General features: G+C 44.8%; 1 protein-coding gene across 1 annotated transcript in view, besides 3 other annotated features; it reads left to right on the forward strand.

Annotated features, from left to right (window-relative positions):
* The window catches only part of TTC9 (tetratricopeptide repeat domain 9), a 33451-nt gene extending 16195 nt beyond the window's left edge, over positions 1-17256 (forward strand). Inside the window, exons 2-3 of the mRNA NM_015351.2 lie at positions 9454-9636; positions 12966-17256. Of these exons, the coding sequence (NP_056166.1) occupies positions 9454-9636; positions 12966-13045 (263 nt within the window). The 3' untranslated portion in view covers positions 13046-17256. The remainder of the gene's footprint in view (positions 1-9453; positions 9637-12965) is intronic.
* Positions 7616-7775: an enhancer, noted in NCBI's record as "active region_8659". NCBI's record gives its function as "activates an Ori minimal core promoter by ATAC-STARR-seq in GM12878 lymphoblastoid cells {active_cell/tissue: GM12878}" and the evidence as "EXISTENCE:reporter gene assay evidence [ECO:0000049][PMID:35858748]".
* Positions 8273-8773: an enhancer, noted in NCBI's record as "H3K27ac hESC enhancer chr14:71133100-71133600 (GRCh37/hg19 assembly coordinates)". NCBI's record gives its function as "activates a minimal SCP1, AML or CMV promoter by ChIP-STARR-seq in naive and primed H9 embryonic stem cells {active_cell/tissue: H9 hESC(naive and primed)}" and the evidence as "EXISTENCE:reporter gene assay evidence [ECO:0000049][PMID:30033119]".
* Positions 8774-9274: an enhancer, noted in NCBI's record as "H3K27ac hESC enhancer chr14:71133601-71134101 (GRCh37/hg19 assembly coordinates)". NCBI's record gives its function as "activates a minimal SCP1, AML or CMV promoter by ChIP-STARR-seq in naive H9 embryonic stem cells {active_cell/tissue: H9 hESC(naive)}" and the evidence as "EXISTENCE:reporter gene assay evidence [ECO:0000049][PMID:30033119]".

Genomic DNA, 17648 nt, shown 5'->3' on the forward strand with positions numbered 1-17648 from the left:
GAACCAATATGGGATTTGGGGTTAAGTAAACACTAGCTCTTTCCCCATAAGAGCTAAGTGGGCTCAGCGGGTCACTTAACTTCCCCAAGCCTCAGCTCCTGGAAGCAGAGCTAATAATAGCTATTTCCCGGAGTCTCCATGAAAGTTAAATGAGTTGTAAAACACCGTATATATGTTAGGTCTTGCTGCCAGTTGGGCATAACCACTGTGGTAGGTGCTGTGTGAGAATTTAAAGATGTTCTAGAGATGTTTGTCTGAAAGAGCAAGGGAGACGCATTTCATAAAGAACAGTAATGATCCTGATTTGAGAATGTAGCTATGAAAAATAATTTTATTCTTTGTAAAACTAAAGGGCACATTTGATGATTGTACCTGTAGATCTGACTCATTAGAGAGACCCCCTAACAGGTTCTGCAAAGCATTACCATTAGGCAAGGATGTGCTATAATTTCACAGATATTTAAAAAATAATAATTTCTTAGCAAGTTAGAAATAGAGCAAAATTGCCTGATCTCAGTTAAAAGCATCTGCAAAAAAAAACTGAAGCCAACATCATAGTTGATGACAAGAAATGAAATTCTTTCTCTTATGATCCAGGAATTGCACTCTTGAGCTCTTATCTTAGAGAAATAAAAGCTATACCTGACTATTCCTATCAACTTTATTCGTAATAATCAAATACTGGAAACAGCGCAGATATCTTTCAGCAGATGAATGGGTAAACAAACTGTAGTACATCCATACCATGCAATACTACAGAGCAATTAAAAAAGGATGAACTATTGGTGCATTTAACAACTTGGATGCATTGCAAGGAAATTATGCTGAGTGTAAAAAGCGCCTTCCAAAGGATTTCATGCTATGTGATTCCATTTATATAATATTTTCAAAATGACAAAATTTTAAAAATAGAGAACAGGTTAGCAGTTGTCAGGGGTTAAAGAGGAAGTGGTGGGACAGGAAGGAGATGATAGAGGAACCTACACACGATAAAACTGTATATAACTAAACACACACACACGCACACACACACACACACACACACACACACATACTGGGTACAAGTAAAGCTAGGGAAACCTGAATAAGATCTGTGGATTCTATCAGTGTCAATATCATAGCCAATATGTTGTACTATCATTTTACAAGATATTAGCGCTAAGGGAAAATGGGTAAAGGGTATGGGAGGTCTCTTTGTAGTATTTCTTACAACGGTAGGTGAATCTACAATTATCACAATAAAAGTTTCAAGTAAAAAATAATAATTGGGGGGTTAGTTTTGCAAGCACTAGCTAAGCAAAGATAGGTGTTGTTTCAGGAAGAAACCAGAAACGTGTCATGTCAGCCCTGTTAGGATAACAGTAGACTCTGAATGGAATTGGAGATGCTGGTGGTTTTAGAACTTAGGAAAAAAAGCAGCCGCAGCAGGAGGAGGGGAAACTTTGCAGTTGGTTTTGTTTGCTTGTTTTTTGTTTTTCTCTCTGAATGTAAAGGAACTAGTGGGAGAGAAGGTTCTGGAGGGTTACATAGGAAGTTTCCGGATGAGTATTTACGTATAAAGTGAGAACAGTTTAGCACAATTAGGGTCTCACACTTAAGCCCTACAGGAAGCAGTACCCATGCCTCAAATATGTCTAATGAAGGAATTGAGTTAGAATCATTACAGGCAGGTAAGCATCCTAGGAGGGCAGTGTGTGTGATGGTTAAAAGCACAGTCTCAGGTGCCAGATGACCTAAATTCAAATCCTGGCTCTGACACTTACTAGCATTGTGACTTTGGGCAAGTGACTTGACTTCCTAGGGCCTCCATTTTCCTATCTGAAAAAAATGGGCAAAATACTAGAAGCTAGAATAGATTGCTGTCAAGATTAAATGAGTTAATGCTCAGAGCAGTGCCTGGCCCATTCATGCTAAATAAAGATGACCTGCTCTTCCTCTTATTCCCTTTCTGGGAGGATGGATGGATACTGTCCACTGGTGCAGGGCCATATTCTCTTGAGTGCATCATGCAGCACCTCATCCTTCTGCTCCTTTTCCCCATCTCCTTGGCCGGGGTTCTTATTCTCCAGGGGAATATTTCAAATCACTAACAAGAGAAGTATCCAAATGTCACAAGTTGACAGCGTAACAGAGAACAATTATTTGCACACATGTGCAGATTTCCAGCTCTAGGACTTGGCCATCTGATACCTGTCTGCCCTTGTGGGTAGTGGGTGAAAATCTACTTTAGATAGAAAATCTACTTTAAATTACGCTGTAGCTTTGTTTATGTACCACATATTGTATATAGGACTCAAGATGGAAATTTTCTCCAATTCATGTACACATTGCTGGGCAAACCATATTTGATAAGTGACTTTCTAAAGAACTAGTATTTATGAGAATCCATTTTTGTCCCAGCACTGTGAGAAGCATGTAATGTGCATTAATTATCTCATTTCATCATCATAAGCGTTCCCCCAAAGTTCCTATTTAACATGGGAAGAATAAGACCCAGGGTGATCATATAACTCGCCCTCGGGCCTGTGCTAGTGAGTGGCAGAGCTCAGATTCCAGCTCAAGACTGCATCTCTAGACCCAGCATTAGTCTTCAGCCAGGGCACCCAGAGCTGGTACAATACTGTTTGCCTATTTGGTTTGGTTATGATCTATACCAGTCATTCAATATTCTTAATATCAGCTCTGTCCAGATCCCAAACTTCTTCCACTTTACTACTATGTCATTGCTTCTTGAAATAAATTTGAAAGCAAATCAAATAATTTGGCAAACTTTTGGGAAAATTTTCCCCTAGGAACCCAATGGCCATTTCCTGGGCCCATCTCACAAAGCAGTGACTAGCAAGGTATATTAGTTTCCTAAGGCTGCTGTAATATCACACACTGGGTGACTTAAAATAACAGAAATTCATTGTCTTGTCATTCTAGAGGCTAGAAGTGAAACATCAAGGTGTCGGCAGGGTTGGTTCCCTCTGAGGGCTGTGAGGAAGAATCTGTTCCAAGCCTCTCTCCTAACTTCTGGTAGCCCCAGGCACTCACTGGCTTTGTAGATAGCCGTCTTCCTAGATCTTATTGCATCATCTTTCCACTCTGTATCTGTCTCTGTGTCCAAATTTCTCCTTTTTATAAGGACACTAGTCAAATTGGATTAGGGCCCATTCTAACTATTTCATTTTAACTTGATCATCTCTGCAAAGACCCTGTCTCCAAATAAAGTGACATTCTTAGGTACTGAGGGTGAGGACTGTAACGTATCCTGTACAAATGGATACGGTGCAACCCCAAACAGTGAGGCAGCCTTGTAGAGTAGGTTCTTCCTTCTCGCTGCTGGCCCCAGATGGGTCTGGTCTTCCTTCCATTTAGCCCATGTTTCCCTTCTGTTCAGCAGGTAAAAGCAAACTATAGTGAGTTAGCTATAAGAAGAAAACCAGTGATTGCATGAACTTGTTCTTCCTTTCATCTGGTTTCCCTTTATCTCATGCCAGTGGGTGGCGTTTTGCCCTGCATGCACCAGGAAACACAAAAACAAAACAGGTGCCAGAGTGAGGAGAACTCAACATGCTTTAGCCTGAGGTCTCAGCGTGGTTGCTGGGGGGAACATCACACTTAGGATTTTCCGTCTGTGTGCATGAGTGTCGCGGGGGCTCTTTGAGTAGCTGATTCTCTATTTGCTAAACACGACCCCTCTGTGGGCCTCAGAAGGCCTGCCAATTCTTTTCGTAAGATCACACCCTAACCGCCTAAGGCTGGCAGTGGAGGAATCTGTACTTGGGAGGGGTGGTTGGAGATTTGCAGCTTCAATTCTTGTCCCCCAGATTTGCCTTTCTCTTGTAAGTTCACTGGCCACCTCTGCTATCACCCTGTTTGGCTCAAGGAAGGCTGTTTCTCCTCTAGCACTTCTTCCCACGCCTTGATAGAGGCTTGTCTTCATTCTCCACAATTTGGCTGATTCCAGGCCACTGCATTTATTCAGCCTTTTCAGAAGACCCAAAGGCCAGAAAGTTAATAATATTTCTTTCAATGGAGCCTCTAGATATGGTTGTCTGAGAGCTCAGGCCCTTTGCCATGCATCTTCCACCCTGTACCTCTTCTGCTGCCAAGTGACTACATCTTTGAATCCAAGTATATCCACAGAGTCCAGGCCAGGCTCCCTTGCCAGTCAGTCCAAAACCTACCTTTCCAACTCAACAGCCTCCTCTGCTCATGATGACTAATGGTGGAGATGTTTACTCCCTTCAGGGAAGGTCTCACCCCAGTGCCATGACTTGGGAAGACCCACATCAGAACATAATCCAATCTCTATGCCAAAAAAAAAAAAAAAAAAAATCCACACAGCAGGAATCTAATTGTTGTCTTACAGAAGCCCTCTTGATCACTGCTTTACCAGTCTGATTGTCCTCCCCAACAAAAGATACCTGACCTTGATTAATAGGGAGAAAGGAAATCCTTTTGAAGAGGAGCCAGTGAAACAATTTTGTCCTTCTATTAAGTGGCAAACATTTGTATTTAGAGGCTGTTAGATCTGAAAGGACGGTAGAGATCATTTAGTGAAATTTAGATCTCTCATTTTGCAGATGCCCAGAAAGGGAAAGTAATTTTCATAATGTTGGCTAGTGGCAAAGATGGGACTAGAATCCAGCTCTTATGATTCCTAGTTCAGTGCTCTTTAAAATACCGATGCATGCCAAATGGCAGAGTATAGAGACTGTGACATGATAATCCTTAATTCAAACAGAGACCAGGTCACCACAACATGGAGAAACACTTCTCGACAATCAGGAAATCCAAAATGACAATAAAGATCTCCCAGATGAACGGCTCTACCTTGCAAATGTGGACAGCAGAGAGAAAATATTGCAGAAATTCCCTGCTGCTGGTCACCTCTGCCTCCTGGATGCCACTTACATTGATCTGTTTTTCCTGCTTATCCGCCTCCACTCTGGTCACCTGAGTCACCATCACTTCATCATCCAAATCCACTCTTGCCTCACAATGAAGTCCCAGATCTTCTACGTGGACCAGAAGGGTCTCTGTGTCATGGTTTCTTTCTTTTCCAGCTTCACCTTTTTTACCCTTCCCTCTGGTTCTCTGCTCCAACCTGGCATGCATGGCTTCCCAAACTTTCTGAAATAGGCCATTCCCCTCTCGCTCCCTCTCTTTCTTGGCTCTGCCTTGAAAAGTCACAGTTTCACCCAGATCAGTGATTCCCAAACATGGGTGATTTTACCACCACCCCACCACCCAGGGAATACTTGGCCATTTCCAGAGACATTTTTTGGTTGTCACAAGTGGCATGTAGTGAGAAGAGGCTAGGGGAGCTGCTAAGCATCCTGCAAGGCTCAAGACATCCTCATGTAACAAAAAATCATCTAGTCCAAAATGTCAATAGTGCTGAGGCTGAGAAATACCCAATCTTTAGATCCCAGCTATAATGCTACTTCTTCCAAGAAGGCCTCCCATTATACTTTAGATCAAGGTAAGGCCCCTCCTGCCTGGGTATGCTCCTTCTCTACCTTTGTCCTTCATAGCAGTTAGCCCACATGTGAATATTTGAGATAACATGACCTCTGCCCTCCCTGCCCATCTGTTAGCCCCAGGTGGGTGGGGGGGCGGGTGTCAGCTCATCAGCTGATCCCACTGCCCCGCCCAGTGCCCAGCAGTTAGGCATCAATTTTTGCTTGTTAGCTTTGGAACACAGCAGAAGGGAGTTTCCACAGATGACCTCTCTTTCTCCCCAGGGGCTGTGTGGGTTTCCGATGGCTTCAAATGCATCCCCACAGACACCCCAGAGGTCAAGTGCACAGTCTTGGAAGCCTGACAGAAGTGGGCTGATATCCTAATTCTACCCCCTTCCAGCTGGGTGACCTTCAGCAAGTTACTTCATTTCTCTGGAACTCAGTTTCATCATCTATAAAAGAAGGATAAAAATAGAACCTGTTTCATGGAGTTGATGTGAGGATTAAAAGACATAGTGTATGTGAAGTATTTAGCACCTCTGACACCAGAGAAGGGATTAATAACCATGAGGAGGACACACTGTGGGGCGATGCCACTTATCCTGAGGTCCACTGCAACCCCAGGTCCTGGCTAATGGCTACAGGGATGGGGAAGGAGCAATCAGGAGGCAGCCAGTCCACGTCGTCTTAACTTCCTCAGCCCTCACACGTGCCTGCTGTCATCCCATCTTACCTATCCCATGGGCTTACTAGATGTACCAGTAGCCACCCACCCAAAGCAGAGAGGTGCCTAAAAATCACCTGCAGGTAGCGCTGAGGCCAGCCTCCAGCCTGGCTGTCACCCCCTCCACCCCTGGATTCCCTTAAGAGTCCTGGCCTGGGCCGGGTGTAGTGGCTCACTCCTGTAATCCCAGCACTTTGGGAGGCTGAGGCAGGCAGATCACCAGAGGTCAGGAGTTCGAGACCAGCCTGACCAATATGGTGAAACCCCGTCTCTATTAAAACTACAAAAATTAGCTAGGCATGGTGGCGGGCATCTGTAGTAGTCCCAGCTACTTGGGAGGCTGAGACGGGAGAATTGCTTGAACCCAGGAGGCAGAGGTTGCAGTGAGCCGAGATCGCACCACTGCACTCCAGCCTAGGCAATAGAGCGTGACTCCATTTAAAAAAAAAAAAAAAAAGAGTCCTGGCCTAGCACCCCAACTTCTTATCCAGATTCTACCTCTTGGCCCAGCTATTTCTCCATCTTTCTGGGCCCTGTCTGTGGTGTCAGCTGAGGCTCCACACCCTATAACCAGCCTAGCCCTGCCTCCCTTGCCTCCCCCAAAGTCTGAACCCTGGTCCACAGCCAGGTATGCCAGTTCCCACCGGATCTGCAGGGGAACTAGAAATATTTTTACCAAATAAGTGCCAGAAATTGATTGCTGTGGTTCCTTTAACCCTTTGTGGGAAGGGGGAGGCTTCCCCATTTCCAGGCCTCTTTGCTTCCCCTGCCCCTGTCACCACCATTTTATGCATTCAAAAACTGTTATTTTATTTTATTTTTATTTTTATTTGTTAAATGGTCCTTTTCCTAGACTGCCAGGGTCAGCAAACAGAAGTGTCTGTTCAAAGAGGGAGGGCTGGACGGGAAGAGGGCTGCTAGGCCCGGTCAGAGAGGACTTCAGGCAGGGAGCGTGGAAGCTGTGGACAGGACAGCTTTTAGCTCTGGGAGCAGGTGCTGGAGCCAAGTCACACACAGGTAGCAGTCAGTGAGGTTCACATCCAGGAACCTTTTTACAGAAACCCCTCTCTCTCTCTGTACAGCTGTATAAGCACCAGCACAGGCTCCGACAACATGCAGGTGAGGAAGGGGACAGAAGGGCCTAAGATCCCACCATGGAGAGAGAGGGAGGAGAGGGGAGGGGGGCTTGTAGCATCAGCTTATCAGAAGGACCCCCTGGTGCACCAGAAGATTGTAGTCCTGGGTGAACAAGAGCTGCCCTCGGGGGTTAGCAGCCTGTTGCTTCTGTTGACTTGGCTTTCTGCCCTGCAGCCAGTGAAACCTGACAGGTCAGTTTCTAGATCTGGGCTGATTCTCTTTCACTTCCTGGTTCTCATACCTTCATCTTGACAGTCTGTGTATTTCTCCTCATTCTGTGAAAGAATGGAGTTTTTTGGTCCTAAATGCTCAAAAAAAATCTGGTCTCTTAAAAAATCTCAGCAATTCTGATACCTGGGAAGTTATTTAAGGGGTCAGAATGACTGACGTTAGACCCCTGAAGATTGAAATCAGTGACTTGTCTCTATCCTGAGGTGTCTTCTGTCAGTGTGGAAAAGTCTGGGCACAAAGAAGGAACAGAGCATCAGCATTCTCCCCCAGCCACCCAGCCGGGTTGTGAACAGAAGCACCAGTTTTGCCTCCTAAGTCTCTGTTTTTATTTGCTTTGAAGAAGCAGACAGGTGCCTTTTTCCTGTCTCTTTTTTTGTACTCCCTCCGAAGTATGCAACATACTTTGCCGTTGGTCAATGCCTACTAGATATTTGAGTGGTTAAATGGAGGCGAGGTGGCTCAGCAGGGTTGGGATTAGAGGGAGGTGCCTAGGGCACGAAATTTCAATCATTCTTCAAGGCCATTTAGTCATCCTCCAGGCGTGTCATCACTCTAGTCCCAGCCCTGTGGCTCCCTGTGGCTCAGGGCTGGTAAGGGAAAGCTCAAAGGGACATGGTTTACTCAAAGATGGCTGTTTGTGGGATGGGGAAGCTCTCCACCATGAGACCTGCCTGCCATAGCTTCCTCTTGCCTGGGACACCTAGGTCTCTCATGTCCAGACATGTGGCTTGTATGAGCTGGTCACTAGCCTACCAGAAAGCCCCCTCTCTCAGGAACTGCAGAGACAAATATACATGAAAGGGAACTTGAGGGAAGTCAGAGGCAGATGTTACTGGTACAAGACTAAAAAGAATTCTAAGAATGTTAACTAACATTTTTTTCATGCTTGCTATGTGCCAAGCCCACATTAAGTACTTTATGGCCATTATTTTATATAATCCCTCCAACAACTAGATTAGGAAGGACTTGGATTCTGGAGCCAGACAGCTTCAGCTTAAATCCCATCTTTGTCTCTTTCACGTTGTGTGGACTTGGGAAATTTCTTCAGCTCTCTGGGCCTCAGCTTCCTCACCTATAAAATTGAAACAGTAATAGTACCCACATTGGAGTATTCTGAGGATTATATCAGTAATACATGTAAAACAATGAGACCAGCATCTGTACAAGGTAAGCACTCAACAAATATTGGCCATGATGGTGATGATGATGATGAAGATGATGATGAAGAGATGATGATTGCCTCTGGTAGCTTATTCCTAAGGCTGCCTACAACAAAGTCCCACAAACTGGGTGACTTGAGATAATAGAAATGTATGATCTCACAGTTCCAGGGGCTAGGAGTCCAAGATCCAGGTGCTGGTGGGTTGTTATTCTGAAAGATGTGAGGAAGAATCTGTTCCATGCCTCTCTGTGAGGTTCTGGTAGCCTCAGGCATTCCTTGGCTTATGGATGGCTCTCTTCTCCCCATGTTTTATCATGTCGTCTTTCCTCTGTGTGTGTCTGTCTTTGTGTACATATTTCCCCTTTTTATAAGGATACCAGTCACACTGGATTAGGCCCTACTGTAATGACCTCAACTTGATCACCTCTGTAAAGATCCTGTCTCCAAATAAGGTCACATTCTTGTGTACTGCAGGTTAGGACTTCAACATATCTTTTGGTGGTGGAAGGGTGGGCATAATTCAACCCATAATACAAGGTTAAGTGACTTGCTCAAGCCTTGTTAACATGGCTTTTTAGTGATGAAACTGGTCAGGGAGGCTAGGATTATTGGAAGACAAATCCCAAGATGTAAACCCCAGTGGAAAACCCCAACCCTGCTAAACCTCTGGAGAGAAGCAACTCAAGGGAAACATGCAGAGCTGGCCACTGTTGTGCTGATGGCATTTTCCCTCCCTTCCTCCATAGCCTGCCTGCTCCAGGCTGAGCTGGTAAACTATGAACGAGTCAAGGAATATTGCCTCAAAGTCTTGAAGAAGGAAGGGGAGAACTTCAAGGCCCTTTACCGGTCTGGTGTGGCCTTCTACCACCTTGGGGACTATGACAAAGCACTCTACTACCTGAAAGAAGCAAGGACCCAACAACCAACAGGTAAGGCGGAAATAGCTGTTTTCTTACTTCCTCCCTGCTCTGGTGGCTCCTGGGACCTTCTCATTTCAGCAGTTTTCTTGGCTAGGAGGGCCAGGCAGGGACAGAGATGGCAAAATTAGGGATCAGATATATATGATAAGACCTAAGAGGAGCACACAGCCCATGCATTTGCCTAGGGTTTGAGTTCCAGGGAGCACAGGCCCCTCTTCTCTTCAAATAGAGTATAGAATTCCTCATCTTTTTCAACTCAGAATCCAGCTCTCTTCACTTATTCAACAAATATATATATATTGAATTCATACTATGTGCCAAGATTTGTGCTAAGCACCAAGGGAATCAATGAAAAGACACTGCCGCTACCCATGAGGCGCTCACATCTGGTTGATGACACAGAATACAAACAGGCAAATTTGATGCTAAGCCCAGCACCTTTCAGGAAGCATGCTCTGACTTCTCCAGTCAGATGCTATTCCTTAGGACATGTGTTATCTATAGCATTCACTTAGATCATATCCACCAGTCATTCATTCATTCATTCCACAGATATTTATTGAGGGGGTACAATATTGCTAGGTATATAGTAGTGAACAAAAGAAAGTTGTTGCCTTCAAAGAGCTTATATTATAATGGCTCACTGTCTATTGTAAGTGGGAAAAAAAAGTGTGGAGAGGGGACAGAACCCAGGGAGGGGCTCTCTACCAAGGGATGGCTAGAAGTCAACCAGTAAACAAGCAAACAAATAGTAAACAAATGAAATACTTAGTAGTAATAAACGCTGTGAAGAAAATAAAGCAGAATAAAGAGATCAAGAGTAAATGGGGGCGCTGGGCGTGGTGGCTCATGCCTGTAATTCCAGCACTTTGGGAACCCAAGGCAGGTGGATCGCTTGAGCTCAGAAGTTCAAGACCAGTCTGAGCAACATGGTGAAACCCCATCTCTACTAAAAATACAAAAATTAGCTGGGTGTGGTGGTGGACACCTGTAATCCCAACTACTTGGGAGGCTGAGGCAGAAGGATCACCTGAACCTGGAAGGCGGAGGCTACAGTGAGCCAAGATGGCACCACTGCACTCCAGCCTGAGCGACAGAACAAGACCTTGTCTAAAAAAAAAAAAAAAAAAGGAGTAAGGCTGGGCGCGGTGGCTCATGCCTGTAATCCCAGCACTTTGGGAGGCCGAGGTGGGTGGATCAGGAGGTCAAGAGATCAAGACCATCCTGGCTAACATGGTGAAACCCCGTCTCTACTAAAAATACAAAAAATTATCTGGGCATGGTGGCACGCACTTGTAGTCCCAGCTACTCAGGAGGCTGAGGCAGAAGAATCACTTGAACCCAGGAGGCGGAGGTTGCAGTGAGCCAAGATTGCGCCACTGCACTCCAGCCTGGGTGACAGAGCGAGACTGTCTCAAAAAAAATAAAAAAGAGTAAAGAGGGGGGAGCTATTTTAGACCAAGTGATCAGAAAGAGCCTCTCTGAGGAAGTAACATTTAAACAACTTTGACTTGATGTTGCTATTTTTGTTGTTTATATGGTTAATAATTTTTCTTTTTTCAGACAGAGTCTCGCTCTGTCGCCCAGGCTGGAGTGCAGTGGTGTGATCTCAGCTCACTACGACTTCCGCCTCTTGGGCTCAAATGATCCTCCCACCTCAGCGTCCCCAGTAGCTTGGACTACAGGCATGCACTACCATGCCTGGCTAATGTTTTTTATTTTTTGTATAGATGAAGTCTTGCTATGTTGCCAGGGCTGGTCTTGAACTCCTGGGCTCAAGCAATCCTTCTGCCTCGGCCTCCTAAAGTGCTGGGATTACAGGCATGAGCCACCACACCCAGCCTTTTTTTTTTTTTTTTAAACTCAATCTTCCTTTCAAAAGTCTTTAAAAAACTTTAGAATCAAGTCACAAATGTCCAAATGTATACTTTTTTTATCTTTTTAAAGAACACCTTGTTGTTGATTTATTTTCCGTACATAAATCGTGTTCCACCAACTGTAAGCAGCTTGAAGACTAACCATTGGACTCATTCAATAGAATTTTCTGGAGCACTGCTATCTGCCAGCACGGTTCTGGAGGATACGCCTGGCATTTTTTAGCATGATATAGTATTCATTTCTACTTCCAGAAGTAACTATTCCAGGCAGCCCTGTCACTCTTATGTTATGGTGTGTGTGGAACTTAGCAGTTGTTCCCTGCCATGCCATCCTCACTAATAACAGGAACTGGGAAGAAATGCCCCAGTTTTGGTGAGGTGGTCATCTGACCCTGCTTATAACGACAAAAATAAGACAATAAAGCAAAGTCATTTTAAACTCTTCAAGCTTAAAAAAATTACATTAGACTAATATTTGTTGATCATTGTTTTAAGCACTTTTAGACTTACCTATTTTGGGCTTCAGAGCAATTTCATGAGGCAGGTATTACAGTCCTCAGGAGAGACAGGCTTTGCAGCCAGACACACCATTTACTATGTGTCTCCTTGGCATCTGACTCAATCTCGCTAGGTCCCTATTCCATTTTGTCACAGTGAGGAGAAGGATACATACCTTGCGGGATTGTATTGAGGATTAAATGAGATCATGAAGGTTAGAAACCTGGCACAAGGTTGGCATTCAAAAATGGAGCTTGTTGGCTGGGCGCGGTGGCTCACTCACGCCTCTGATCCCAGCACTTTGGGAGGCCAAGGTGGGCAGATCACCTAAAGTCAGGAGTTTGAAACGAGCCTGGCCAATATGATGAAACCCCGTCTCTACTAAAAATACAAGAATTAGCTGGGCGCAGTGGGATGTGTCTGTAATCCCAGCTACTGAGGCAGGAGAATTGCTTGAACTTGAGAGGTGGAGTTTGCAGCAAACCAAGATTGCACCACTACACTCCAGCCTGGGCGAACAGGACAAGGCTCCATCTCAAAAAACAAACAAACAAAAAAAAATAGAGGTTGTTTCTTGCAGATGGTACAGGAGGCTCAGAGAAGTTGGCAACTTGCCTGATGTTAAACTCCAACTGGGGTCTCACTAAACTAACTGCGCCGGCTGGGAAACCACTGGGATACGCTGCTGCATAGAAAGAGGGAGAGAAATTCTCTCTCCTCTCCCACCCATTCTCTCTCACATCCCCTGGGTCATGCCAACCTGTCCACATTTGCTAAGGGGAGACAGTGAAGGAGAGGGTCGACATCTAGTTGCCCTCTCAGCCACCATGGATAGGCAGAAGGGACCTTGGTTGAGTGAGCCTGGCCTGTTGGATGTCTGCAGACACAGCCTTTGCTAATTCCTTGTAAATGTGATAGTTGCCCTCACCTGGTGTTCCCTAAGGTTTATTTCTCTCCTCACAGACACCAACGTGATTCGGTATATCCAGCTGACGGAGATGAAACTCAGCCGATGCTCCCAGAGAGAAAAAGAAGCCATGTAACCAGGAAGCAGCTCCAGAGCTGCGCCCACGCCTGACCGGGGACTTCCAGGCATCCCCTGGCAGAGAGCCCCGTCCTGGATTCTGTCCCTTTCTCCCCACTTCTTCTGGCTCCTCATTTTTCCTCCTGTTGCACCCCAGCTCTTTGTCTCCTCCCAGTACGAAAAGGAGAGATGCAAATTTGGAATCTGGTAGGTCGCCCAGACAATGGAGACATCCTCTCCTCTAGCAGGTCAGCGACTGAGAGGGGCCTGACTTCTGCTGGGACAGCTGGAGAGGAGTCTCATGGGCTGGGATGCTGTTGTGGCTTTGACTTTGGCCAGTGCTTCTGACAGAGGCGGAGCCTGGCAAGTGTACCATCCCACAGGCAGCAGGCACACAGCCCATGGGCTGGATCCTTCCACACTTTCCTGACAGACCAGAACCAGAGCATCTCGAGGCAACTGTTAGAAATCCAGGGACGAGACAAACAGAGAAGCGCTGGTGAAGCCAACATAGAGACTGTCAATGTGTACACTGGAGTTCCCACCCCCACCCCCCACCCGTCACTTAGCCCCTGCCTCCTTCCCCCACTCGTTGTCTTGGCTTGTGCTTTCTCCTCTCCCCATCGGGGATCCGAGACTCTGCCAGGATTCACATGCCACTGAAGCCCACTCAGTGCCCTCTGGTGACCACACATACCATTCCCCCGGACTCCCACCCAGCAGGCAGCTGTGACCGCAGAAGGGCAGGATGAAGTGGGCCAAGGTTTGGGACAGGTTGACTGTGTAGGTGACAGGGAGGGAAAGATGATGGCCAGGGGAAAGAGCATCGTATAGGCTAGGGGATTGAACTGTGGACTGATTCAGTGTAAATAAAAACAAATTAACAGGTAGTAGTTCCTGTCAGTTCTGTTGGAAGCAGCCCACTCCCTCACTTTTACTCCTTCCTCCAACCCTCAATCAGAGCTACTTACAGCCAGGCAGGATGGGGCTTTCCCCAAAGCAATTGGCCGTTTGTCCAGTGGCAGACAATGGTGGCTACAGCCTTTGTGCTTTTAAGAGTGGGCTGGGATTGTGGAGACTGCCCAGGGGCTTGGCTTTGTCAGAACTTGTACAATCTTCTTTTGATGAAATTATCTGAACTCAACATCTAGCACATAGAATGTGTTCAACAAATGCTTGTTGAATGAATAAATTATGACTGCAGACTGGCTCTCCTGCCTTAAACTAATTTCATCCCAGCCTAGTCTCCTGATGTCTGTGCTCGTTATGCTATGCCATGTTGCTTCAGTCAAACAAGAAACACTTACTGAGGGCATATTGTTTGCCCATCATTGTGCAATATGCTGTGGGACATGGGATGTCGTCTCAGTCTTCAAGGAAATGGAAGGGTTAAGAAATGCATATGAGATTATTACCAATGACACCGTTAATTTATATGATGCTTTAAAATTATCAGAGCACTTTCATGTATTTTTCGTGTGACTAGTGAAAAAGACAATGTTGTACAAAATTAAAATATATACAGATGCAATAATGTGAATAGTTAGGATTTATTAAATGCATTATCTTCAGATCTTTACATGTATAATCTCATTTCTTTCATGCAGTTACTCTGGGATACTGTTCCCATTTGATGGGTAAGAATATTGAAAACCAGAAAAATTAATTATCCCAAGGTTGCATGGCCTTTAGTGGCATAGCTAGGATTTGAACCAGGCCTGCCTGACTCCAGAGCTCTGGCTAGTATCTATGCTATACTTAGTTGCCTCTCTGTAAGTATAATATTGGGCAATTATAACCATTTGAGAACAGGACAATATGTATTAACCTGAAAAGTGTTCATGATGTCAGTGATAGTACATGGCCTCCTTATGTATTTACTCAAGGGCCCCAAAAGACCAGAGGCCAGAATCCCTAGTAGTCAGAGCAGTGACAGGTCAGAAAAAGGCAGCTGAGGTCCAATAGTTATGTCTGTGTATTGCTCATTCTACTTACTGATGGAGCCAGCATGTATCTCAACAACTCACCTAGCATTCATCACCCATCCCCAGCATTGGGAAAGGGTCACAATTAAGACCGAAAGGAAACACAAAGTTAAATATGGGTTAATTATGTAAGCAGATGCCCCACCACGGCAGGATCCAATCACAGCCGAGGGGCCCAGAAGAGAGCAGCGTAAGTTATATTCACATAGTTCCCCAAAGGCTTTCAACGGGGGCTACAGGAAGGTGCTAGAAATATTGAGGGGCCTGCCATTACTCACCTAGAGCTCACTCTCTGGAGAAGAGGAAAAGGAAGAAGCTATTTCAGCTGCCACATTCTCCCCAATCCCTACTATATTATGCTGTCTTTCCTCTTCCTCCTAGCTGGCTTTACATGACCCTAACCCAAAACTACCCTATGGCCCCACACGGGAATGTGTTCAAACGCCCCGACCCCCACCCCCACCCCCATTCCCAAGCCTCCAACTTAGAACGTTTGTGATTTGGCAGATGGTTTGTTAGGATCTGAAGGATGAAGAGAAGGGTAGAGGTCACCTGGAGAATGAGTTCAAACTGCCAGGGTCTTCCCTTGGTCTTTGTGCGTCAGGAAGGACTCCGAGTAATTATTCCCTATGCAGAGACAGGAGAGAGGTCTTGTTTACATGAGTGTGCTGGGGCAGGGCTGGACAATCCAGGATATGATTGTAGCCATCCCATGTAGAAAGATCAAAAACCAGAACGAAATGAAGACAGCCTCTCAGAACCTCATAGAACAAGCGTCCAGGTCATCTGCTTGTTTGGTGACTTAGATATACAGGCTTACTGGAACTCCATTCACTGTGACCTGAAGTTAAATAATCCCAAAGAGAAAAAGCTACCTGGGGTATTGGTTGATGTTTGGGGTGATAGGGCTGAATTTTCTGTGCATTTGTCCAACAAAGGCTTTAGAGCACAAAACCAGGTTCATTCTCCCTACCAAATCTTCAGCTTCCTTCTCCTCATCCCTCCCCAAAACAAGAACTGTGATTTAATTCCGTACGTTGCGGATGTCACTGCTGACCTATGTAGCTGGAGTACTAATCAGGCATCTGACCTGCACTGTCATCCCCTGCCTGGACTTTTGCGATGGACTCTTTGGGGGAAAAACTAACGCTTTTTAATTATTGTGAAAGCATCATGTGTGTATTGTAGAAGTTTTAGGAAAAAAAGGACAAAATCCAATCCATAAGCTTACCACCCAAGACAAACGTGTATTCTTTTGAATATACCTTTTAGTTCTTTTTGGTGTAAATGTACACACGCACACACAGTTGTGGATTTTTTTAAACAAAAACTGGATACACTGAATATACTCTTTAATAACTTTTCAAGTGTGTATTTATATTTTAGAATATGTAATCCTACACAGATACAAAATTCAAAAAGTACAAACTGCTCTGTAGTCAGAAGTAAATCTTCTCCCTACCCCGTCTGCCAGCATCTAGTTTCCCTCTAATTTATTTTGCATCCTAGTGGAGATGCTTACACATTGTCAAACATATGTATATATTCTTTTATCACACACAAATGGCAGCATATTGGACACTTTTTGTTTTTTGCTCCTTCTGTTCCTTCACTTAATAATATCACGAACATTTTCGGCATATCAAACTTTCTCAACAGCATCTTCATTGTATGGATGGACCCTTTTTTTATCATCAATCCTCAAATAGTGATTATTTCATTTGTTCCCAATCTTCATTGTAAATAGTGTTGCAACTGACATTCTTGTAGCTAAATTTTGCACATGTCTATAACGATTTCCTTAGGATAAACTCCAAGAAGAGACTTGCTTGGCTATTTTTAAGAATTTTGATACATGTTGCCAACCACCCTCCAGAAAGTTTGTACCAAAACGCTCTCCTATTTGGATCCTAGAGAGTACCCTGTTTCCTGCACCCTAACACTAGGTATCATCACTTATCAAATCTTTCCCAATTTGGTAGCTGGGATAATAGTATGTCAATGTTATTTTAACTTTCTTTGATTCTTCGCGAATAACATTTTCATATGCTTATTGACCATTTGTACTTCTTTCTTTGTGAATTTTCTATTTATTTGATATTGGTATGTTTATTATCAATTTGTAATTTTATTAAGAATATTATTTTTGTCAAGAAATGCTGCAAATATGCTTTCCAAGTGCTTTGCTTTCAAATTTTGTTTATGGTGCTTTTTGACATACATAAATTCTTAATTCTGCAATTAATTCGTTCCTCTGTTGCCAGCTTCTCCTGCCTACAGTTCATTCTCTTATTTCTATCAGAGTGACCCTTCCAAAACACAGTTTGACCATGTCACTCCACAACTTCAGCACTTTGGGAGGCCAAGGTGGGTGGATCACAAGGTCAGGAGTTCAAGACCAGCCTGGCCAAGATGGTGAAACCCCATCTCTTCTAAAATACACACCCACAAAAAAATCAGCTGGGTGCGGTGGCAGGCACCTGTAATCCCAGCTACTCAGGAGGCTGAGGCAGGAGAATCACTTGAACCTGGGCATCAGAGGTTGCAGTGAGCCGAGATCACGCCACTCCACTCCAGCCTGGGCAACAGAGTGAGACTCTGTCTCAGGAAAAATAAAATCTTTAGTAGCGCCTCGTC

This window comes from Homo sapiens, chromosome 14 (genome assembly GCF_000001405.40).
Source record: "Homo sapiens chromosome 14, GRCh38.p14 Primary Assembly".
Lineage (NCBI taxonomy): Eukaryota > Metazoa > Chordata > Mammalia > Primates > Hominidae > Homo > Homo sapiens.